Here is a 25,863-nt window from a genome sequence, read left to right on the forward strand (position 1 = left end):
AGACAGCCTAACTATTGGTACACCCTGAATATCAGTTACAATTAGGCGAGGTACTAGGAGCCAGTTGATAGTGGCTCCCAATTCTTAACTGAAGAGTTCAGATAGGAGCTGAGAGAATAACAATAGCTAGAATTTATTGAGCCAATCATTTTTACATGCACCATTTTATTTAACCCTCACAATAACCCTATCTAATAGACATTCTTCTAATTATTATTCCCATTTTACTGATGAAGAAACTGAGGCTCAAAGAGGTTACATAACTGGCCCAAAGTCATACAGTGAGCAAGTACAGAAGTGGAAATCTGAGCTTGCAACTGACTCCAGAGCTGGTCTCAGCCACTCTGTGGCCTGCATTGCTCCAGTAGCAGATGGGTCTGATAGAAGAGCATGTTGGCCCTGTGTACTTGTGAACAGCATGCAGGATGGAGAGAAAGGGGACAGTCCTGGAAGCAGGGACTCAGAAGCAGCCTCAATCCAGTTGGGAAGGAATCAGGGTTTTGAATAGGATGGTAACAGTCCATGTCGCAAAGATGAGGCCAATTTACCATATGAAACAATTTTGAGCTTTTGGATAAATGGCACAGTCACTGGCTGAGACAGGAGGTAGCATTACTGTGGGCAGCAACAAGTTTAGGGAGCTCTCTAAACTTTCCTATTTCTCTTTATGAAAGCAAAAGACCAGAAAATTATCTATAATTACTGAGCCATCAGCACTTAATTACAGCATCTCTTGCATGGGCCAACATGGCAAATGACTTCACACCACTAATGAGTGTCCTGAGCTCCTCTTCCCACTCCCAGTTTGACCTGGAATACACTGGCACGAACAGCCCTTCCAGTCCACTCTATACAGCAGAGGTATCAGAGTACAGGCTGTGTGGCCAGACAGACCTGTGTTCAGATCCTGTCCCCACCACTCACTAACTGAGGAACTTTAGACACTATTCAACTTCTCTGAGCCACAGTTTCCTCATCTGTAAAATGGGGGCTGTAAAATACATCAGTCCTGGGGAATGTCAGGATAAAATAAAAAGATAAATGCATAACATCTAGGACAATGCCTAACATATAATAAGCACTCTTTTAAAAAGCTATTATTATTGTATATTTCCACCCCTTCATCTGACTCATTTGAAGCTGAAAGAGGAAGAGGCAAACCGAGTGAAATTGCTTACATAAAAGCCAGATAGAGCCTGGCTATTCCACCGAAGGCAATAATTATAAAGCTGCTTCAGAGCACAGAGAGTTCCAAGAATGGAATACGCATTTGAAACAAGTTCATTAAAAAATTGCTTACTCATAAAAGCTACTATCGTTATAGCCTGACAAATGGAAGACACGACACTAATAAATAAGGAGCCGGTGGTAAACAAGCTGACTACACCAAGAATCCCTTGATTTCTCTCTTCCCCATCCTTCAACTGTTTCTTAATCTTTTATGGGCTTATAATGACAAGTTCAGGTGGGTTTTATGTGCCTGTTTACTCTGAGTTTTCTCCAAACTCCAAATGGAAGGGAAGAAGCCTCCAGGCTTCTCTACTTAGTCTCCCAGAATGGAATGAGGCAGTCTCGGCACCCAGCAGGCCTGGCTGCCACCTCTTTGCACCACAGAGTCAGCTCAGGCCTTTCCTCACCTCCACATCCTATCTAGAGACCTCTAAACCCTCACACCTTTGCACCAATGCATCTCCTCCTGCCTCATGGGTCCATTCCAAGGAGAGTGTCCTGCTGTTTTGCGGGACACTCTCCCAGTCAGTGTCCCGCTGTTTTTCCCTTCCAGTCAGTGTCCTGCTGTTTTGCCCCAGCCCAAATAGATCACATTCTCAGTTGTGGAATGAGTCCCTAACAGAAAGTCAGGAGACTGGGATGATTATGCAGTCCAGATGCTTACTAGCTGGACATTGCCACTCAACTTCCCTGAGTCTCAGTTTTGCTGTCTATAACCTGGGGATAACAATACTTCCCTCACAGTGTTCCAGCAGAGGTTAAATAAGTTTATAGTGACAAACTTGCCCTATGGAGTGTCTGGCACATGTGGCAGATGTTGCAGTTACTCAGTGGCAATAATTCAGCACCCTGTATCTGAGCTCCGTCCTGTGATCTTGGGTGTGGGGGTGGCAATGAAAAGAGAGGAGAATGCCCACAACGGTCTACCCTCAGAGTTTTGACTCACCATGCAATCAAGAGACTTCAACTTGCTTTCAAAGAGTTTCTAAGTGCAGATATGACCTAAGGAAATGGGGTGAAGAGAGTGGGGTGCTGGTACCCTCCCCTGCACTCACCTGCCTCCGCCCTGCCCCAGCCCTGCAGGACTTGACTATGTCTTGCTCCCTTGCCAAAAAAGGACAGCAACATCAGACAGGAAGCAGCTTAGCGCTTTCACAGAGCCTGGGGCCAAACAAACATGTGTCAGCATTTACCAGAAACCCTGGTAAATCTTACAAATTCTTACATAACAAAAGCATGTAATCTCTGAGTCCACATATTCCTTTTTCAAGCAAGCCCCACCTACTTGACTACTGTTTTTCAGGAGGTTAAAACAAAAAATGATGTGTCACTTAGTTACACAAATGAACAGCCGATTTGGACTTTGAAAAACTCTTAGGTATTTTGTAAAAACGGAGCTAAATACTAAGTAATAAATTTTGGGAGCCAAATCCTTCCAAAACAAAATTTCCTTGAGAATTGCCCTTCTGCGCATGGGTAACTATTGCTCTCAGAGACAAGAAATGGCTTGCTTGGATTCAAATATGCAAAAGCTAGGTTTTAGGCATCCACTCTCTTATTCTAGAAAGATTTATTGAATACACACTATGTGGAAAGCATCATGCTAGGTGCTACAATACAAAGATCAAAAGGTTCAAGAGATAGAGGCAAGCTGTCTCTAAACTAAGATGCTGCTGGGGACCCACTCTGGGGATCTTTTTAGCCTGACTTAGCAACAGGCCATGTATTTAATTAGAGTCTTCATTCTACTGACGCTTCCTCCAAACTTGCACCTTGATCAGAAGATAAAGGTCAGTCCCTCTGATCTCACTGTAAGCTTTTTGGAGGCATAAGAACAGGGTCTTTGTCATTTTTTTCTCCAGCACCAGATGTAATGCTTACCCCATCCCTAAGAGGCACTCTGTCGGGAGTTGAGCAGGCCTCGGCTCCGATCACTGTGGCATTCTAAGCAGGTGCCACTGACAATGTGACTCAGTTTGTCTAAGCTGCAGTTTCCTCATCTGTGAAACAGAGATACTTTTGATCTGAGAAGGTTGGAAGGAGGAACAAAGCAAGGGTCTGGAAGGGGCTGGCCAAGAAACCTGTCATGCAGTCGGAGGTCAGCACTTCACGGGAGCTCCTAGTGTTAAATGTGGAACCACCCAATGTCCCCTGTGAGGGAGCTCAGTGACATTAGGGGCAGACAAAGATACTAGAATGGGAACAATCAGATTCTACAGCTAAAAAAATAAAAAAGAAGAAAAAAAAGCAAAAGTGAATTTTCTCCCCATTTCACTAAAATAATATGCTCTAAGCCTGAGACCTTTTCCCTCCTGTCTGCTGCCTGAAACTCATTTCTCCAACAGAGATCTAAGCCACCATAAATCTCATCAGGGGTCAAAATGGCTGACACAATTTTAACTACAAGCAACCACAGCAGAAATGGCGTCATTATTATCCCCAAGGGCTGCTCTCTGCCTTTTCTAAGGGACAAAAGAAAAAGTCATATTTTTTAGCCTGGAAATATAGGGATTTCCTGCATTCATATATATATATATACATATATATATGTAGTATTCTAGAATTTTCAAGGGACAAAATCAAGAACCCAGAAGCACAAAAACTGTGAAAGGAAAGTATGACCAGACATAAAGTTGAGCACTATTTCTGCCTTAAACAAACAAACAAAGAAAAACTCCTTGCTGCCATGCTACCCAAAAACCTAGAAAAACTATTTCTAAGTAATACAATCAGCTATGTCTCCAATCTCCTGTGACTCTCGGTTTTCTACATTCTATAACCAGGTCTCATCTACGGCACTTGCTCCCTGACTGAGTCCACATGCTTTCCCCTGGGGAGGCACAGTACTGCAATGTGATTCTGACACTAATCACCCAGAGTCAGTGCAGACTTCACAGATGAAAGGCACAGCCTCCAAAAGACTGCCTCACTTCAGTCACCAGCCACAAGTTCAAGGGTCTTCAGACCACCTACACTTCTGGCTGCAAATTTGGGGGTTTCCACAGCCCCCTCAAATTCAATAATTCACTAGAATGACTCACAGAACTCAGTCAAGTGCTACGCTTAGGATAAAAGTTTTACCATAAAAGGTACAAATCAGAGCCAGTCAAGTGAAAAAAATACCCAGGGCAAGGTCTGGGAGGGTTCAGAATGTGGAGTTTCCATGCCTTCCCCCCCATGGACTCAGGTTGGTTCACCCTCCCATCACATTGATGTGTTCACCAATCAGAAAGGTCATTTGCACTTTGGTGTCCAGCGTTTTCACTGGGGTTTCATGATGTAGGTATCACTGATTGAATCATTGGCCAAGTGGTTAATCTCCATCTTCCAATCCCTCCCGGAGGTTGGACCAATATCACATGGCTCAAAGCACCAACTCTCTAATCACACGATTGGCCTTTCAAGCATGACCAGCCCCCATCCTGAAATTATGTAGGGGCTCACTGTGAGTCACCTCACTAACATAAACCCAGGCATGGTCCCAAGGGCTCACTATGAATAACAGACAGTCTTATCACCTGGGAAAGTTAGAGGGTTTGTTTAGAAGTTCCATCCCAGGAACGCAGGACAAAGGCCAGACAAATGCTTCATTATACAAAAGGAGGGAAGGCTTCAGCATCTTAGATACTAACAACCTAGACCCAAGGCTTGTCCCCCTGTTGTCACTTTCAGCAAATTAAACTCTCCCTTGCTGACTCCTCAGTCTCTTCATCATCTGGTACCACTATGCCTGGCCAATCTCATTTCTGCTGTTCCCCATCATAAAATCTGCATCCTACCCCTCCTGGTCTATCTCAATCTCCCCACACAAGTTACAGAATACTGAGATAACCTCAGGCGTGCACATGAATAAGACCTGAGCATGGACAAATAAGACCAGTAGGACCGAACCAACATTAGTATTTAAAAGTGAGCAAAGAAAGAGAAGCCCATGAAGGAGTCTGAAGAGGTGGGGAAATCCAGCTGCTGCACGTGGTGATGGAAGCCCAGGAAAAGAGTTTTTCAGTATGCAGGAAAGGACCAACAGTGTCAGCCGCTGCAGAGAGGTCAAGGAAGATAATGACTTAAAAGTTGCCATTGGATTCAGCAATAAAGTAGTCATCTACAACCTTGCTGAGAGCAGTTTCAGCAGAACAATAAGGGCAGAAGCCAGCTTGCAGTGGGTAGAATACAGAATGGGAAGTAAAGAAGCTGAGCGACAGATACAGATGCCTTTTTAAAGAGAAAGCGGTGGCTGAAAAGTGCCATGGGGCCAGCAAGGAATTGAATATACAAGACGGAAGGCTTAAACATGTTTAGGTCCTGATAGAGAGAGGGGAAAAGAGAGAGGGACAGGGTGAAGGGACAGGGAAGAGAAAGGGAAAAGTGATCAAGCCAGGCTGCTAAGGAGGTAGGAGAGAAAAACTCCAGAGGACAAAAAAAGGGATAAGCTCAGACAGAGAGAGGCTCCTCTTCCATAAAATCAGAAGTGAAGAAAAGAGGCATGGTGGCAGATGTAGGTAAGTTGTAGGTTTGATGGCACTGAGTTAAGGGGTGGGATGTTTCCATCTCTGGGTTCTACACTTTCTGTGAAGTAGGAAGCAATGTCAAATGCTTAACTTGTGAAGGCCAAATATTTGAGGAGTGGAGGAGAGTGAAGAAGGCACTGAAAATCTAGTCTAGAGAACTAGAGAGAGCGGTGACTAAGGAAGCCTAGAATGATCACAGGAGAGTGGCAGGGAGCAGTGGGGTCTGGGAAATGGGAGACAGTAGTACAATGAGTCTACAGATCGTGTGGGTTTCTCTATGACATGCAGCAACACTGGCAGAGAAGGCTAATAGTTTGTTAGCTCCAGGGTTGAGGTTTTGCCATCCAAGTATGAAAGAAAGCCAATAGGGCAACAATATTAGCAAGACAGAGGTTGAAGTAAAATGAAGCTGAGAGGGTATGGTATGAGAAGGTATGACTGAAAAGAGAGAGAGAGAGAGAGAGAGAGAGAGAGATCAGTGGTCTGGGAGTCCCTAGTTTTGAAATAGAAATAATGTCAATGATTGAGTACAAGAAGTAGAAAGATAGAAGGTTGTGGTGTGGGAGGTGACCTAGGGGATGATGAGGTCCAGGTGGGGTGGACGTGTTGAGAAGAGAAGATGCAGGAATGGGGGGGTCGAGTGTTGCTGGGCATCTTCATGAGCCCAGAAGAAGCCCAGGATGAAAGCAGGGTTCAGATGGAAGAAAAGACTGTGTAACACATGCTGGTGTCATTAGTGAATGGGGAGAATGACTAAGAGAGTGTTAGATGAGGAAGAGGAAATGCAGAGTGGAAATCACTAATCAGAGGCCTGTGGGCCAACTCAGACCCAATAGCCAGGTTTCATTTGGCTGTCATGGTGTTTTTTCTTATTTTTTTTTTTGATGATGGTTTACTATCTACCATTTTTAAAAAAAATCAGGAAAGTTCATATAAAAATCTAGATTCCTTGAAAGCCTTCTCTTAGAAACTATAAAGATCTGGGAAAAGGCCGGGCACAGTGGCTCAGGCCTGTAATCCCAGCACTTTGGGAGGCCAAGGCGGGAGGATCACCTAAGGTTGGGAGTTCGAGACCAGCCTGACCAACATGGAGAAACTCTGTCTCTACTAAAAATGCAAAAAATTAGGCAGGTATGGTGGCGCATGCCTGTAATCCCAGCTACTCGGGAGGCTGAGGCAGGAGAATCGCTTGAACCTGGGAGGTGGAGGTTGCAGTGAGCCGAGATCACGCCATTGCATTCCAGCCTGGGCGACAGAGTGAGAATCCGTCTCAAAAAAAAAAAAAAAAAAAAAAAAGATCTGGGAACACAGGGTTTATCTCCTTCAACTGTGAACTGCGGAGCAACTGTGCCCTTTTTGAGCATCATGGGGTCTCCAGCTCACCACTGAACCCCCTAGGGCTTGTGTCACTCATTTAAGAGGCAGACCTGCCCTTGTCACAGTACACTGGAGACACTTTGGAGAGCACTGGCAATGCCAGTGAGCTTGAGCCTAAAAGCGGCCAAGACTTTCACTTGAATCATTTGGGGAGTGAAGATGGGGAGCAGGGATGGTGCCAACGCCAGCGGCTGATGCTGAGATGCAGCAGAATTAGCAGTCTCCCCTTGAGAAGGCTACAGAGAACACAGAACACTCGAGGGAGAGGCAGGTGCAGATGAAAAGGCAGAGGGAGTGAAGTGGTCAAGGAAGAGTCTGAGGCTACGAATGAGTTTATTCACCATGGACATTCCAGAGGACAGACATAAAACTGTTGGTAGGAGCTGGGCCAGGCAAGGGGAAGCACAGGGTGATGGCACAGGATCGGAAATCACCTGGGGAAACATTTCAGGTGTAAGCGTCTAATGAGAAGTCTCAAAAATGTCAAGCTAATTACTCTTGGGAGCAACCTGGTGGTTGGGTTGGAGTCACTGACCTGGACCCTGGGCACCCAAATTGCCTTGGCACAGAGACCTTTCCAGGACAGCTCAGGCATACCTAAGAATCACCTTAATACCAGGTCACCGGGAAGTGAGTCAGGCTAAATTTCAAATCCTCTTCCTCTGCTCTGTCCGTGAGTCACAGAAGATCAATAGGAGGAATCTCAGTCAGATTCGACACTGGTTATCCCAAGCAAGAGCCCTTTTTATAGCATTCTTACAACAATGAATTTAGTCACCTTGCGGGCCACACAATTCGCTGACAACAAGGGGAGAGAGGAGCAGAAAGGGAAGATGCCAAAAACATGCTATGTCTATTTCAAAATTTCCCCCTAATTTGGCTCAAGGTGCAGGAGAAAGGAGTAGAAACTCTCTACCTTCTCCTCCCTCACCACATAGATTCCAACTCCATCAATCTAAAACTCTTAGCAATACATTTCCAACAAACTAGTATGTATTAAATGGACTGTTGTGTATAGGCTGAAAAAGCTGATCACCATATTAAAGGGCTAATTTGAAGTAAATTGTGTTCCAGATTCTAAAAACCCAACTTGTAAACTCCAGCACACAGCTCATCAGTAGGGTGAAGGCTGCCTATATACTAAAACCAAATTTCTGAAAGCATATAAAAGTTTCAGCTTGTTTTGTTCAGGAACACTATCAATCAAGGCACCCTGACTTCCACCTTCTGACAATAATGACCCATTCGTCAAAGACTCTCTTTGTTCATCTTACAAACAGCTTCCTGCCCACGCCTCCCTGGAATCAGCCCAGGCTCCTCCTGCAGTCCTTTGGGAGATGTCAAGACCCTGTGGACATGGTGCACCTGTGGTTTTCACTGCAGACCTGAGCCCCTAAGTAGGGGATTATTGGGGTAAAGGGTGTGAACTCAAGAATGAACAGGGCGATAATGCTGATCAGTGGGTCCCCTCATTCTACAACATAGTGAAACATCCCATAGGCTCTCTATACCCTTCCCCTCTCAATAGCTTGCTATACAATCTTAAACAAACTCAAAGAGGTCTGTGATCAGGATACAACTTTCCTTTCAGATTTCCAATTGTAGATTTTCTTCCTCTTTTGCCTTTTTGCTGTTCTCCTCTTGTCAAAAAGGAGCAATAAAAGGAATTGGGAAACTCATACTTTCTTACCTTGTCTCACTTCAGTATAAACAAGACAATGTCTTATTTAAAAAAAAGAGGGTGGAGTGGTAGTGGGAGAGGGGAGAAAGGTGATATTTAATTTATTGGGGAGGACGAATCATTGCTGGAGAATGCCTGTGGCTAAATGAGACCATCAAACCAAGAGCAGAGCGGCAAACCGCATGCACAAATATGAAGTAATATCTTTCTACTCTGAGGGAAGCTGACACTCAATTTCAGAAGCTTCAGGCTAGCAGCCACAGCTACCTTCTTGGAACCATTTACAACTGCTTCTACTCTCTGCAGTGAAAGCTTAAAAATGCAAATGAAATGGGGCCATTTAAAGAAAAATATCCCTTCTAACTGTGCTCTGGGAAAGAAGAAAAAAAACCCTACAGCTCAGAGGGCAATCTTAAAGTAAATGAAACTCGGCGGTGCTAGCTGATGCCTCATTCTGATGGATAATGTGTGCTCTCCTCCCCCCTCCTGAGTTTAGAAGTATTTAAAGAAAAGGGTGGAATCACCCTGTTTAGGAGATTAATTTCTTTTCTGAAAAAAATGTCTGTTTTCCCTGTCACTTCTGGTTTGATGAAGGGTAAAACCAGAGCTTATTCTAAATGTTTGCTGCTGAAAATTACCAAAGGCATGTGTGTGGAAGGGAATGATGACGGGAACAAAATTCTGAAGAGATCAACTCCTGCCCCGTCTCCTTAGGCAAATCCATGCTTATGTTATCCTGGAAGCCATTGTAAAAGTGTTTCTTCAGGGACAGAGATTCTAATAATATGTCAAATATTTTTTGAACACTAAACACCAAGGACTGAGCTTAGCACTTTACATGAATTATCTTACCTTCAAAATTCCCTCTCCCCAGCAAGCACACTCATAGTAGGTCCCATTACTCTACCCGTTTTACAAGCGAGACAAGTAAAGTTAGGCAGATCAAACAACTTGCTTACAGTGAAATAGCTGAAAAGTAGCCTGGCTGGAATTCCAGTTAAGATTTTCAACTCCAGAGCCCAGAGCTCTGTGTGGTCCATAACATCCTCTCAAGGGATGTTCATTTTAATTCCACTCACTAAGGCTCACCAAATTAACATAATTCAGGAAATGATGTCTCACTTTCATTTTTTTTTTTTTATGTTTGAAATGTTCACAAAACCACCGCACTGATGACACAATGTAGTCAGTGTTTGGTGAGCAGGCACTATAAACCTAAGGCTGAGGGAAAAAGTGGGGTTGGGGGCAGTTCACCAAAGGACATGTGGCACTTCACGCCCTTCACGTGCTTAGGATATAATTGGAAGCCTGTCTCTGACAAGCCACTTAACTCAATAGAAGCACCTACATTGATTTGGAACCTAAATTTTTCTTGGTGTGCAGCTCAAGTCCATTTTCCCACTTTATCATGAGGTATTTGAGCCAGGCTACCAACCTCACCACTTTCTCTAATTCTTAGGTGAAGAGTGCAGTCCGAATCTGACAACAGGCAGAGCAATAAGAACTCTCCTACACTGCTGGAGGCAATGAAAATTGATAGAATCATTAGGAAAATAGTTTGGCATTATCTCAGAAATTCAGAGATGTGTATATCATACAATCCAGAATTCCCAACCTTATGCATGAGCACCAGAAGTCACGCATATGAATGTTCCTAGCAGCAGCATCTATTACAAACTTTTGACAAATGATCTATTGAAAATAAATTAATTACAGCTGCATGCATGTATCAACATGGATGAATCTTATAAGCATAATAAGCTACAGAAGAAAGTCACAAATGAAAACATACCATATGATATACATGACATTGAAAACAGACAAAACTATACTATGCTGTTTAGAGATGCATAATAGGTAGTAAAGCTATTTTGTAAAAAAAAAAAAAAAAAAAAAAAAAACAGATCATCACAAAAGTCTGAAGAGTGGTCATCTCCAAGAGGAGGGAATGGAAGTGATGGGTTAAGGGCATCTGAAAGGGTTGGGGACTTCTAAGATACTGGCAAATTCTCAGTATTAAACCTGTATGGGGACTAGAAGGAGATCCATTTTTAAAATATTTATTAAATTGTACATAGTAAAATGCATATTTGTTATATAACATGGTCTTTTGCATGTATGATATATTATATATGAATATACTCTTGCATATGTTAATACATATCAAGAAAGTATGCAGCCTTACTCAATCTGAGGCACAGAGTAAGCCTCTGTTTTCATGTGGAGTTACAGACGTTCTGAAATCATTGGGATTGCTTCTCACCCTGAAATGTTCCCTAGAGCATGTCACCCTGAGACTGTCCAGTCCCGATTTTGATACTTACAGTTACAGGAAACTCAATACCTCGCACATAAGCCCATTCCTTCTTCTTTGTTTGGTTTATTCCATAGGCAATGGAGCCCCCAATTTGTTTTTCAACTGTGGTAAAATATATATAAAATTTACCATTTTAGCCATTTTTAAGTGTACAGTTCAGTGGCAGTAAGTTCGTTCACATTACTGTGCTACCATCCATCTCTAGAGCTTTTCATCTTCCCAACCTGAAACTCTATACCCATTAAATAACAGCTTCCCATTGTCCTCTCCCCAAGTCCCTGGCAACCACCATTCTCCTTTCTGTCTCTATGAATTTGACTACTCTAGCACGCATGTAAGTGGAATCATTATGATACTTGTCCTTTTGTGACTGGCTTATTTTACTTAGCACAATATTTTCAAGGTTCATCTGCATTGTAGTATGTGTCAGAATTTCCTTCCTTTTGAAGGCCTAATAATATTTCATTGCATGTATGTAACACATTTTGCTCATCCACTCATTTGTGGATGGATGGTTGGGTTGCTATGACCTTTTGGCTATTGTGAATAATGCTGCTATAAATAGGCATGTAAGCCCATTTCTTCTTGACTGCTAGTTAGTTTTTCCTTATACTCAATTAAAATTTGCCTCCTTGTAACTTCTGCCGGTTGGTCTTCATTCTACTACCTTAACTTCTTGCAAGGCAAACCCTCTCCATTTTCCTTACAGGAAACCTCAAATATTGGAAGACAACCTTGACATTTTAGTCATCTCTTTTATAGCCCAGATACGACAAGTTCTTTTAGTCGTTCAATCATTCCTCATGTAACATATTTTCCAAGCCCTTCACCAACCTAACATGATTCTCTGGACACATCTTAGATCATATTTGCTTTTAGGAAAACCACATGTCACTATTGTTTCATCTTTTGGTTATGGTCCAATAAAGAGTCCTTTACGTAAAAAGCCCTTGCCTTTTCAATATTAGCATCTGCAAAACTAGCTTTCCCTATTCTGTCATTGCACAGTTGATTTTTTTGAGCATTGGTGCAGTAGATTAACATTTATATGTGTTAAGTCTCATCTTCTTGAATCTGATCCAGACTTCTAGTGTATAGAGATTACTTTTAATGTTTTCTCCATCACTCTATGTCATACAAAAAATTGGAAATCTATTTGTTACTGTGTTCCTTCAAATTATTGATTTATATATTAAAGATCACATAGTTATAGCAAAAGTAAACCTTACCAGCCTCTCCTTCCAGATTATCAACACTCTTTAAATACCTAAATTCAACCAACTGGAAATGCACTTAACTTCAACAGTGCCTAATTCAGCTATCGTAGTCTTATCCACTAGGATATCATAGAACACCATGTCAAACATGTTATGGAAATAGAGATATTCTAGGTTTATGGACCTTCACAGATTTGCCAGTGTAGTCAGTTCATAATGGGTCAGTTTATGGTAGCAGTATCCGTACTGGTTGCTAGAGATCACCTCATTCTTTTCTAAGCATGCATAAAGCATGAGTTTAATATACTGTTGAAGAATTCTATCAGATCCAAGGCCAAGTTTTGTTAGAGGTGGCTTCCAAAACTCCTTTTTCCCTCTTTTTGAAAATTAGAAGAATATTTTTCTATTTCTAGTATTCTGGGAAATTTTTCATCTTTGTGATGTGGAAAACAAGAGTTTTGAGATTTCATCTAAAAATGTCTTTATTATATGAGATCCAGCCACCTGGACATGAAGACTGTGATCTGATTCAAAATGACTACATAATAATATCTCTCCACCCACCCTTAACTTATAGATTCTAACCTCTCTAATTTGACTTCCCTATTCTTCTTCTTCTTTTTTTTTGAGACGGAGTCTCACTCTGTCACCCAGGCTGGCGTGCAGTCGCCCAATCTCGGCTCCCTGCAACCTCCGCCTCCTGGGCTCAAGCAATTCTCCTGCTTCAGCCTCCCAAGTAGCTGGGATTACAGGCATGTGCCACAACCCCTGGCTAATTTTTGTATTTTTAGTAGAGACAGGGTTTCATCATGTTGGCCAGGCTGGTCTTGAACTCCTGACCTCAGGTGATTTGCCCGCCTCACCTCCCAAAGTGCTGGGATTACAGGAGTAAGCCACCACGCCTGGCTTCCCTATTCTTGAAAGAGATTGAACTTCAACTTCCACTGGGCTTTCATCTTCTCTCATTTATTTGTTAACTTGACAATTTCCTCAAAGAGTTGGCCCATCCATTCTTGATCATTTTCATTGTTTTTCTTGTATATTTAAGTCATTTTTTTGGTTGAGAGAAGATTTGTGATCCACAGTAGAAACGAAGGAGATGACAGATACCCCGGCACCAAAACTGACACCAGGTTTTTGTTGCTTCTTCCACTATATAATGGAGAAGTTCTGTTTACTCTAGTTGTGCAACTACTGTTAACATTGGCTTAAGGAAACCCAAGAAACTGAATCACATCAAAGGTATGTCAGAGGTATGTGAACCAGAGCAACTCCATCTTGAATAAGAGCTGGATAAAATAAGGCTGAGACCTACTGGGCTGCATTCCTAGATGGTTAAGGCATTCTGAGTCATAGGATGAGACAGGAGGTCCACACAAGATACAGGTCATAAAGACCTTGCTGATAAAACAGGTTGCAGTAAAGAAGCCAGCTAAAATCCACCAAAACTAAGATGGCCATGAGTGTGACCTCTGTTGTCCTCACTGCTACACTCCCACCAGCGCCATGACAATTTACAAATGCCATGGCAACATCAGGAAGTTACCCTATATGGTCTAAAAGAGGGAGGCATGAATAATCCACCCCTTGTTTAGCATATAATCAAGAAATAACCATAAAAACGGGCAACCAGCAGCCCTTGGGACTGCTCTGTCTATGGAGTAGCCATTCTTTTATTCCTTTACTGTCCTAATAAACTTGCTTTCACTTTACTCTATGGACTGGCTCTGAATTCTTTCTTGCACAAGATCCAAGAACCCTATTTTGGGGTCTGCATCAGGACCTCTTCCCTGAAACAGATAGACATGGACATCAGCCCCACTCGTTGCCACTTTATTGACCCAGGGAATATCAGGGCTCAGTATCCTCATATCTCAAATGAAGAACTGAATTCAATCTTCCTAACTGAGGCAATACTGCCACTTTGAAAGGGAAGTTCTCTGCTATGTGGAACTATATCACATTCCGTAGATTGCTTAGCATCCATGATTTTGGGACATTAAATGCAATTGTGTCCCTTGGTCACTGTCACTGTGAAAATCCCAAACAACCATATACATATCCAAATGTCCCTGGCTGAGACCCACTGGTATGATCTCTAATGTCCCCTTCAGCTCTGAATTTCTGGATCTATCCTTGTTTGCAGACAGATGCTTTGAAGTTTTCAATCATTAATAACTTTATGTTAAGTTTTAGTCAATAATGTATTACATTATTGGAAGTCATTTTCTAGATGAAATAGAGGTGGTCTGTTCAATTACAGCAGACATGCAACATTTTAATCCAATTTTTCAAAATTAGCAGGAGTAACTAATTACAAATCTAGACATTAAGAAAAACTGGTACACAATTAATCATTTAAGTCAACTGAATGAAGAGCCTAGATGAATTTTAAAATGTTGACAAATTCTTATTACAGCATCACAATAAAGAAAAGCAAGCTGCTAAAGCTATGTATTTTTCCTTTGTTTTAAAAAAGTGAAAGGCTAACCAGTTTCTTATTCTCTACTGTAACTTGAAATTCTTCTGCAGATCAAAAGAATTTCCCCAAATCCAAGAGAATTATCTTTCTGCGCAGAACTGTGTATTTGCCTTCTCTCAGAGCAAATAATTTAGTCCATCAACATTGTGCTTTCCAAGGAGGCTTATTTTTTATCCTTCCTCTTTGCAATATCTCCCTGTCCCCACTCTAGTAGCACACACACCAGCCCCTTCCATCACCCCTACAACTGCCACTGGCACCACCGACACTACCACCACCCAAGGAGAGCCAGAATGACGACCAGCTTGCTTCCCCTCAGCAGAAATGGGCATGACTACTCAAATGCAATACAGGGTTCTTTACAGACAACATGCTCAGAAAATGTTTTCTTAGCAGAGCGGAAGGCCACCCCCTACTTCCCACCAAAAATATCTGGCCTCTCTCAAGGCTTTCTGAGCAAGTCCAGACAGACAGAAAAGGGTTGTGAAACTGAAGATGCCTCTTTATTTTTTTTTCTTGGTAGGAGAGTGAGAAATGGGGAAGGAATAATTTTACAACAATGAGTTCTGTCAGGCTTCTTTTCCCTTTCCAACAGTTCTAGGATCTAGCATCAGCAAAACATGTTATGTCATGCCCTGGTGAGGAGACAAAAAGGGAAGGAATTCAAACTGCAATGGGTGGGGCTTTAAGATGCGTGGCCTCTCTTATTGCTATTTATTTCCTTTCTCACTGGCCTTTGGAAAAAAAGAAAAAAAAAACGGCAAAGGATTTGGGGGCTACACCAAAAGAAAGTGAAGGAGCAGAGTATGTGAGAAACTGAAATCTATGTAACTACTTGAAGCAATTGGAAGTTCAGCCCAAACCTCAAATTCATTTTTGTTTTTCTGCTAATTATCTGGCATAGAAAGCCAGCCCTGGGGCAGCTGCTTCCCAGCAAATGGATCCAGGTCTTCAGTCTGGATTGGGACCAGGCTTTGGACAAAGGCTGTGTAATTTTCATAGCTTCTTTTGCCATTTACAGAAGAAATGGGACTAGCTACTCTTCCTTCAGGACAGAGCCAACAAATACAGGTTCCTACTGTAGCTGCTGGGATCCAGGTTAGATAATGAAGTTACTGGCAGTGCATCCTGCAACAAAAGGATGTTGTGAAACATCTCCTCCAGAAGTCTGAATATCTGAAGAGTTTCTCATCTCTCTCCTCTGTCTTTTCTGACCCTTTCAGGAGGCAATAGAGTTGCTAACAGCTTCATTCTTCTTTCCTTCCTTTCTTCATTTCTTAATTTAGCAAACATTTATTCAGCATCTATTGTGTCACTTTTTATACTTGAAACTTGGAGGAAGAGAAGGGAAACCAGTAAAAGTCTTTGATTCTAATCCAGGTGATTGATATCCATGGTTTACACCAAGGTAGCAGTAATGGGAATGGGCAGAAATGGTTAGATTCAAGGCAATGTTAACGTGGTAGAACTGACAAATTTGGGTGACAAATAGCAATATGGAGGGTAAGGAGGAAGAGAAAAATCAAGGTTGACTCCTAAATTTCTGGTTTGATCCACTGAGTAAAAGATGATGTCATTTGCAGAGGAAATGAACACAGGAGGGTGTGAGACAGCAAGTTTGGGAGAAAATATAATGAATTCCATTTTAGGCAGGTTGAGGTTGAACTCCACTTGAAATATCCAAGTGGAGATGTGGACAAGGAAGCTGGAGAAATGGATCTTGTGCTTAGGACAAGGATCTGAGCTAAAGATATGAATTTGGGAAGAACTGAATTCAGGCAGTTTGCTAATGGGAAAGGAAGGAAGGGTTGGCAAAGTTATGTGTATCTTTTCTGCCCCTAAAGGGAGAACAAGATGCAAATGAAAATCCCACAGTACTTGGAATTGATCACTAGTATGGATTCCTAAGAAAGATGCTGAATTAGTGGGAAAATCTCATTAATTTACTAAAGGCAGCTTTGCTTGGCCCAGAGAGCCAGTATCTTCCAGTAGCAGGCAGACGGAGCCCTGTGCAGATCCAGTTGCACAGAGCCACCCTTTCCACCCTGCCAGGCCTGGCCAACGATGGCATGACCTTTCAAAGAGGGACCTTTGCCCAGCACATGGTAAAGAAGGCTTAAAAAGAAAAGCTCCCTAGACTCACCTGAATCGCATTGCCAAACCTTTCCCAGGATGATTTCACAGGGTGAAATTTAGCAGCAGATTCAATGCTTCTAAAAATTATTTTTCAAGGGAAGTTGACCTGTTCTACTCCAACAGCATTCATACCTTCCTAACACTTTTTTTTTCTTTTTTTTTTTTTTTGAGACAGAGTTCCGCTCTTGTTGCCCAGGCTGGAGTGCAATGGCATGATCTCAGCTCACTGCAACCTCTGCCTTCCAGGTTCAAGCGATTCTCCAGCCTCAGCCTCCCAAGTAGCCAGGATTACAGGCAGCAGCTACCATGCCTGGCTAATTTTTGTGTTTTTAGTAGAGACGGGGTTTCACCATGTTGGCCAGGCTGGTCTCAAACTCCTGACCTGAAGTGATCCCCCCGCCTCAGCCTCCCAAAGTGCTGGGATTACAGGCATGAGCCACTGCGCCCGGCCTTCCTAACGCTTTTTAGATCTGTCTCAGTCCACATGGAGAGTCCATGTGGCAGCATCACCATAAGCAAAGTGCTTCTCCCTGAGTCCAGCACTGAGTTCCTCAAGGGAACATTTTTTTCCAAGGGCATAGATCCTCTGCAGGTACTTTCTTTAAAAAGGTTATTAACAAGGGAGGTAGAATAAAATAGCAGGGGCTGGGCTGAGCAAAGAGAAGGAAAACGGGTGGGGTGTTACAGTGTGCAACCAAACAGGGTGGGGCTGAGGCTGCCTGTCAAGTACATGAACCTACTTCAATCCCAGACATTTAGATGGCAAATCAAGCCCACATTTTGGGGCTAAAATTTATTTGTTCTTGGCTGAGGAATATTTCAGGTTTTCAAAAAGGACAGAAGAAATGAGAAATCAGAACCCTAAAGGTCTTATTCTTCAATGACACTCAAATTCTTCTATCAAGAGAAAAGCATCAGAAATGTACACATTTTCCCAAAACATCTCCACCCACAGCACAAACACACTTTTAGATTACCAGAAAGAGTTTTCCCAGAAATGGCCACTTAGAACATTAACTAATGAAAGAGAAAAATAGCAAGCTCATCTTCACAGTTGACTCAAGACCCATTTCATTCCAACTTCTGGCCAAATAGAAAAGTCAAACTAGGAAGGGTGTGCTAGCATTTTCTAAGTACAGAGACAAAACAGCAGCAAAACTATTCTTCTTTTCTTTTCCCCTTTCCTTCCAATTTCCTACAATAATCAAGTTCTGATGAGGGATCTTTAAGAACCACCAACTGGGCCACCAACCTTGAAGGAATCCAGACCCCGGGGACAAGCTTAGGCTAACACAAGAAACCAGCTGTTAGCCTCACAGGGGCATTTGAGATCTTGGGGTTAGCACTGTTAGTAAGCCCAGCTGAAGCTAAACTCTGGGTATTTTTACAGATTAGAATTGATATAAAAGTATCCTTGAGTTTTTATCACTTTACAGTTTACAAAGAGCTTCCATATATTTCAGTTCCTCCTCACCACCACACTGTGGGGTTTACCATGCTGTGTTACACATAGAAAAACTGAGGCCCGCAGAGGTGGAGAAACCCAAGAGAGCAATGTTAGAAACCTCCAGAGCTAGGACCAAAATATAGGTCTTTAAGTCCAAGCCAGCTGTCATATCCCAGGTGCTGAAGAGAGAATAGGGATCCGGCGAGATGAGGGAGGAGACATACGTTAGGAAGCACAAATGCCTAGAAGAGTCATGCTAATAAGGCACCTGTAGTGAGCATTTTCCTGCTGGAAACACAAATCCCCCTGTCACATGCTGTGTCACCAGCATTTACTAACATGCATTCTGCAGGGTCAGGTGATTTCCCCTCTTTTTCCCTCTCTGGCTAAGCCCAAGAACAATCCAACCTGTTTACCATGACTGGTTCCCCATCAGGGATACAACTAGTGCACCGAGGCAAGAAAGAGATGTGGTCCACACTTCCTACACCAACTGACCATGCCCACATTCTACGATGAAAGTCACGATGCTCCCGTGGTCTTCTTGTCACTTAGCTCTCTGGATCACAGAACTGTACAGACCAGTACTTCTCAAACTTGGATGAATTGCCTGGGGATCTTGTGAAAAGGCTGATTCTGATTCAGTGGGTCTTAGGTAGGGTCTGATATGATGCATCCCTAACAAGCTCCCAAATGCTTGCTGCTGGCTGAGGACCACACTTTGAGTAGCAAGAAGATGGAGACTGTCAAAGCTAGAGAGACCATAGAGATCATCTTTCTCAGTGCCTTTCACACTGTGTTTTCCTGGGAAGTTCTGATAAGGTATTTCAGGAGATCACTTGAAAGACAAGGAGGAAACCAAGGGTCCCCCTGTACCTTTACTTTAAGCAGAATTGCTGTTTTCTCTTTCTAGAAAATGGAATTCCTTATAAAATTTCATTTGATAAATGGGTTCCTTTATTTTTATAAGTTTGAAAGCTACCACTTTAATATAACAGCCTCATTTTACAGAAGAGGAGCTTAAGAATAAGAGAAGGCAGGTGAGTCACATGAGGTGACACAGCCAATTGGTGGCCAAGCCAAATCAGAATCCTGGGCTCTTTTCCCCACTCTACTCTTGCTCTCTGTGGGGGAAAATTTCAAATGTCATAATTCCGTGGTTTCTCCTCTTTCCCTTAAGCTTACCAAAGTAAACCCACCAGAATCCAGCAACACCTCAGTCCTCAGCAGGTGGATGCCCTGCCTCTCCCTACTGAGGGCTGGCTCTTCACAACTGCCCTGCCATCCCCACCTGACAAGTCAGGGCAGCCAGTGGAGGAGGGAATAAGCTTACTGAAGCAAGGCAAAAGTAAGACACGTTCCCAGAGGCAGGACTGGGGCCAGCTGTGGAATTATTCCACAGAGGGCAGGTGTGTGCTTGCAAGACCTCAGAATTCCTTGTCTCCAAGGAGGGGCCCAATTGACTCATCAGGGTACTTCCAGACAGTTTACTTCAAGCTGATTTGCAGCCGGCATGCTGGGGCAGCTGCAGGGCCCCAGCTGTACAGGAGGATTTGTCACCAGCAGGAGCAAAGCAGGAGCTGGGGGAAGTGTGTGGAGGCAGGGGAAAATCCCAGTGAAGGGGATATCTAGTACAAAGCCTGTGACCATGAAAGATCAGGCAGTCTGATTGTGAGGCCAGCAAGATTGGGCCAAGAGCAATTTAAGGAAAACAGAAGACATGGTCCCCTGACCCAAGGACTCTACAATCTGGATAGACTGTGAAAAGGTTACTAATATATGTGAAACAATTAGTGGACACTGCAAAACAGCATATAATTAAAAGCTAAACTGAGGGCTTCAAATGTAACAGACACAGGTCATAGCAAAAAAAAAAGACCACCTTTGACTGAGACATCTGGGGAAGAAAACATGAAGAAGGCCACACAGCAGCATAGAGGATGGGTAGAGCAAGACAGAAGGAAAGAAATAAGCCAGGGATGGCTGTCCACATGGTCAGAGGAACCAGTGTGCTGTCATTAGCATCTAGAGGGTGCAACGTGAATTCAATCTTCAGGAGTCAAGTGAGAGCATGACTGGCTGGGGATCAGACTCCTCCTTGCAGAACCATGACTGATCCAATCAAGCCCAGCCCAATTCCAAACTGTCTCTGCATTTCCACAGGGCCCTTCTAATTTCCTGAACTATCAGGCAACTCCAAGAATCCTGCTAGGATATTAGCAACAGGAGCAGCACTGAGCTCCACTTCATGGTGGTCGTGAGCCAAGGTCAAGATTACATGTCAAAAAATTAATATCCATTCATTTTCTGGCTCTGGCTAAAGCTTCTTCATCCAAAAACTTGAATATACCCAGAGAATAGAATAAGATCAGCCCCAGGAAAGACACCAACCTCAGAGATTCAGAGAGGATGAATGCTTTGTTGGAAACCACTCAGTCAATTAAGAAGGAGAAATCCATCGCCACATCTCTTCTTCACATTCCTCTCTCTAGTTTGACCCCAACTAAAGAGCAAAAATGAGTCTTGTTGAGCTTTCATCTCTGACTCACAGTCTTCCCACATCTATATTTCTGAGGTAGGTAAGTCTGAGTGAAACCCACCAACCAAGGATGCTCTGCTCAGCCTAAAACCTAAGAATGGAATTGCCAAACTCTCTACTTCCTGCCTCACCACCCCATCACTCACCTCCCTGGAACCATCATTTGACCCTACACTGTTCTAAGTCAAATCAACTCAGCAGCCTGGCATTCTTCAAGGTCATTAAAATTCCCAGGGGTTGTGGACAACATGTTATGGGGCCTGTTCCTTGACCCCGGCTTCAATCTGACCCACCTCAAGATTATATATTTTCCTCTGTCCTTCAGCAACCTGACTTCGGTCCTTCCCAAAGTCTACAACCACTTGAGGAGCTAAAGTTCTACATTCAGAATCATCTGAGACTGTTAGAGCTGACAGGAGCCTTAGAGTCTGTCTTCTCCAGCCCTGCCACTTGACAAACAAGGAAACCAAGATCCACAGATGTGAAGCGACTTGTCCAGGGTCACACAGATCCTTGGTAGTAGGCATGGACTAGAATCCAGGCCTCCTAATTCCCAGGCCACAGGAAGTTTGAATTACCTTATGAGAAGATGGAATTATTGTCCAATACCCTGGCTGGCCTCCACTTCATCACATCCCTTGAAACATTTGCAAGTGAAGACGTGCAACTGATGACCACATTGCCTATAAAGGATCTTGGTGGTGGGAAGGAAATTAGCCTTGACCAGCTGTTTCATTTTATTTCAGTTTATTTTAATGCATCAGCCAGAGATGATGATGGCCCTGACCTAGATGGCACACTTATATTGCATCGTCACCTCAAAAAGGAAGGCAAGGCATATTGAAGGGAAGCCTGTCCAAACTGCCTCATTAAAGAGTGAAATGGCAAGGCAGAGCTTTTTAACATCTTGGATATATCTTGCAACAATTGTGTTATTAATTCAGGTCACTCCCTGATACTTCTTTTCAGACATTCAAACCACTCATTGTCTGCAGCCTTTTTGTCAAGCCCTAAGCAACAGAAATCCCACGCTCACTCCATCTTCAACTCTGCTGGGAACAGTCTGTGTGGATCTGGCAGGCTGTTGTGAGTGAGATGAGCACTGGGATGAAAGCCCAGGACACCTGGGTTTATTTGTTATTCACTGAGTGACCTTGAGCAAGTCAATTCACATCTCCGCATTTCTCCTATGTGGGAGAGTTAAATTGAAGGTAGAAAAGTAGATAAAACAAACTCCTCAGGTGCCTTTCCATGTAAGGGGTCTACAACACTGACTGATATTAATAACATTTGTCTGCTTCCATTTAAGGCAGAATAAGAGCATGGGAAACTAACCATTAATGGACATTCACTATGTGCCACAGACCATGCCAGGGCTCACACCAGCCTATGTCATGGTATCATGTAAGCCCCAGATGTGGAGACAGTGATCTAAAACGTTAAGTTGCTCATCCAAAGTCACACAGCTGGTGGACAATGGAGCCAGGGTTTAAATATGTTTCTTCAACACAAAAGGACTAACTTTTTGTGCTACATCACCCTGCCTTCAATAAAAAATGAGTTCATATTGCTGAGAGGTGGAGCGGGGGCGGGGTGGGGATTGAGAGAGAGAGAGAGAGAGAGACAAAGATACAAATTCAAATGCCAGCAGAGTCAAGAAGTTTCAGTAAACGAGTGATGAGCACTGGAAAGTAAATTGTGAATTAGTTGCCCCCTCTAAAGTATCACAGAGATTCAAGTCCAGCAAGTGTAGTAATGAAGGAATTCAGGCCCTGGATGGCCAGATTTTTTTTTCCTTTTTCGTTTTTGAAGGGAGGCTGAAATCCAGATTTTTATGTGAAATCTCCCAGTTCTTATCTGTGGCACCTAAGTCACAAAAACTCTAAACATCATGCAGGCCAAATAGTATAAGCCCATGCCCAGATTCAAGCACACAGTTTGCAAACTCTGGACACTCAGAATAATCTCCTAACCATAGGAATGGGAGAGACCGAGACATTTCACTTTGGGACTCTGTACCACCTTCTCTCTGGATTTCCTTTTTAGAGAAAATGAACTTTCTGGAATATTCAGAGCTAGGGCACTGTGATTAAACCAACCCCACTAAATTGCTAGAGCTCACACCAGCAATTCTCTTCTCTCTTATGGAGTGAGGTGGAGGGGGGCAAACATACACTCCACTAAAGCCAGCAGAAGTTCTCTTTTTTTCTAATAAGCAACAAATTATTTGAGGGGACTTGGTTGAAAACTAGTTCTACCCCTATAGTTAAATCCAATTATACCATAATTACAGGGAGTCTGCACACATCAGAGCTTAGTTGGGAAAGAATAGGAACACCACAGTTCTTCAAAACGCTGGCCAGAGGTACCCCTGTAATTTCACCAACTGTTGTCCTGGCGGAACCTTCATGGGAAAGAAGACACATGTGGCTCTTGATTTTCAATCAGAGGACAACCCACTGAAAGCTCCTTCACTGCTGAGTGGCGTTGGCTCACTTATGGATTTAAAGAAGACAGGCATAGGGAGATGTCTCTTATTTTGTTTAAACCCGGCCAGAAAATGAGTGGGCTCGTATTTCCAAGTCCAAATAGGATTAAGCACTAGGTCTGTTGAGAAATAGGAAATTATCATTTCTACATTCTTACTATTTCCTACTTTTAATATTTTTTTCTTGAGTGTGAGTGGGAAGGGGGCGTCCAGATTTTTTAAGCTTTAAATCAGAAATTACAAGAAAAGCTATTACAAATATCTCTCATTCATTGTGAAAGAGCCTACTTACTTATCCATTTTTCCATTCTCACATGGACCTATGGCCCTCAAATTTGAGGGAGATTGTAAATTGTTTCTGTTGGTTATAATAGGAATAAGAAGCAGAAGAGCCTACTAAAGCTTAAAAGGTTTGATGTGTGCAATGTTATAACTGAAATTTTTGTTAAATAATATTCTTTTGCTGAAAGTCCAAGGGCATGTCTATTCTTCTGCTGAAACCTTTTCAATTGCCTTTGCAAAAACTCAAGGTTTCACTCAGAAGAGAACACCTAGCATCGTGCCTACTGAGGTTAAATATTCTCAGGCTTTCACTGAGAACAGTGTTGATTTTGCAGAAGTAATATCATGCTCTAATTCCTCTCTAATCCCCATTTCATTTTTGTTACAAAATACATGACTGAAAAGAAGGGAAGTTTTAGTTAATTCACTAAGCGGTATTAAATCCATGCCGTGGTGCAGCCTGTTTTGCTAGGTTCTGTACGAAAGAGAGAAATGGCTGAGTCTGAAAATGGAATGGGGAGGGGAGGGGTAAAATCCCTAGCCTGGGGAATCCAAAAAACCTCTTTTTTCAAATGGAGACTCGAATACTTACTGGTTATGTTACCTCATACAAGTTATTCAACCTCTGTTTGCTCATTTGAAAAAGTCTGTGCCGTGAGGATTACAGGAGCAAAATATGAGAAAAATGCTGGCCTAATAATAGTAGGAGAAGCACTGAGATGGTTAGTGGACTCCAGCCCACCTCTGAAGGCAGGCACAGCCTAGCCAGGGAAACAGCGGCACCCATCTTTCTGCCACACAGAGCAGCACCAGGGCCGGGAGGCCTGCATGGAGCCATGTGAGCAGAGACCAGGAAGGGGGGCCAGGGGCTTACTATTAGGTAGCATTTCAGAAGAATGTTCTGGATGGAGGCAGGAGTATGACAAAACATAGATTGACAAAACACTAGACGGCATCTCTGAGGAACAGAAGGCAGCCCTGTGAGACTGGAGTTGTGGTTGTGGGACCAGAATCAGAGACCCGCCGGTGCCTCAGCAGCCCCTGCCCCAGGATGCTGTATTATTGAGGAGCAAAGTGGCTGACAGCTGGCCCTGGGGAAGCCTGGACATTTCACACAACAGGGAGAACCAATGGAGGGGGAAAGTTGGGTCAGGTGTGCTGGTGAATGCCTAACAACTGGCTCTCAGGAACACTCTGGTTTTGTAGCGTAGTATAAGCTTTCTCACCACGGCTGATTTCAAGCTACCAACATGTTCAACAACCAGATGGCAAGCTGTTTCCTGGAATTTTAACAACTGACTCTCACAAGCAGGTATTAGTTAGCTGCAGTCAGCATCCGGATTGGGCTGAGGAAAACTAGGGGAATTCCAGCCAGGTCCTCAGCACCCAACAGTGAACCCGGAAACCAGGAACACCCAGAAGCTTCTGCATTTTACCATTTTGGAATCTCAGTTGTGATAAACATTCATGATGACTGTGAAGCTCTTCATAGCTTTTGGGGGATGCCCTCATGTGTTATCAGGCGTTGCAATTATGCCCCTTTGACAGAGGAGGAAGCAGAGCATTGGAGTCCATATGATGACTAAATTGCATAATTAGTAATTAATGGAGTCTGGACTCAAACCTAATCCTATTGTCTCCAAATCTGCTCTCTCCCCCATCACCCCCAGCCCCAGAAGAGTTCCGCTGCCCAACACCCTTTTCATTCCAGTTCAGTAAAAGCGATGAGCATCTCTTCCCTAGCTCCTCCCATTCTAAGTTTCAAATGACAATAAATAGATTTAGGCCAAAGGTCCTCCTAGTCCTCCAAAAGCAAATCTCAGAGTGAAGGCTGAAACTGGGTCCTCTTCTTTCCCAGCTCTCAAACCCCAAACTCCTCACATGTTTCTCTCCCGGCCCAGGAGGGGATGACAATCTCATCACCTACAAACAATTTGCCTAAGTCCTGCTGCATATTCCTACTTATTAAATTGTAGGATTATCCCATTCTGCTGCAGCGACAGAGCTCTGTGACTGCTTTATTGCTGTATTGCTCAGAACTGCTGAACTCAGCACCAAAGCTCACTTCTCCAGGACTCCAGCAGAATGGATGAGCTGGCACCTGTCAGCACGTTCTGAGAGCAGAGACCTGCACTGTGAGCCCCAAAATGATTCTCCAA

General features: G+C 43.2%; 4 annotated features.

Moving 5' to 3' along the window:
- Positions 297-1,179: an enhancer, noted in NCBI's record as "NANOG-H3K27ac hESC enhancer chr1:209570036-209570918 (GRCh37/hg19 assembly coordinates)". NCBI's record gives its function as "activates a minimal SCP1, AML or CMV promoter by ChIP-STARR-seq in naive H9 embryonic stem cells {active_cell/tissue: H9 hESC(naive)}" and the evidence as "EXISTENCE:reporter gene assay evidence [ECO:0000049][PMID:30033119]".
- Positions 2,943-3,823: an enhancer, noted in NCBI's record as "H3K27ac-H3K4me1 hESC enhancer chr1:209572682-209573562 (GRCh37/hg19 assembly coordinates)". NCBI's record gives its function as "activates a minimal SCP1, AML or CMV promoter by ChIP-STARR-seq in naive H9 embryonic stem cells {active_cell/tissue: H9 hESC(naive)}" and the evidence as "EXISTENCE:reporter gene assay evidence [ECO:0000049][PMID:30033119]".
- Positions 7,217-8,416: an enhancer, noted in NCBI's record as "P300/CBP strongly-dependent group 1 enhancer chr1:209576956-209578155 (GRCh37/hg19 assembly coordinates)". NCBI's record gives its function as "activates an origin of replication core promoter dependent on BRD2, BRD4, P300/CBP, MED14 and CDK7 cofactors, with strong dependence on P300/CBP, by STARR-seq in HCT116 cells {active_cell/tissue: HCT116}" and the evidence as "EXISTENCE:reporter gene assay evidence [ECO:0000049][PMID:35650434]".
- Positions 7,315-7,901: an enhancer, noted in NCBI's record as "H3K27ac hESC enhancer chr1:209577054-209577640 (GRCh37/hg19 assembly coordinates)". NCBI's record gives its function as "activates a minimal SCP1, AML or CMV promoter by ChIP-STARR-seq in naive H9 embryonic stem cells {active_cell/tissue: H9 hESC(naive)}" and the evidence as "EXISTENCE:reporter gene assay evidence [ECO:0000049][PMID:30033119]".

Source organism: Homo sapiens, chromosome 1, assembly GCF_000001405.40.
Source record: "Homo sapiens chromosome 1, GRCh38.p14 Primary Assembly".
Lineage (NCBI taxonomy): Eukaryota > Metazoa > Chordata > Mammalia > Primates > Hominidae > Homo > Homo sapiens.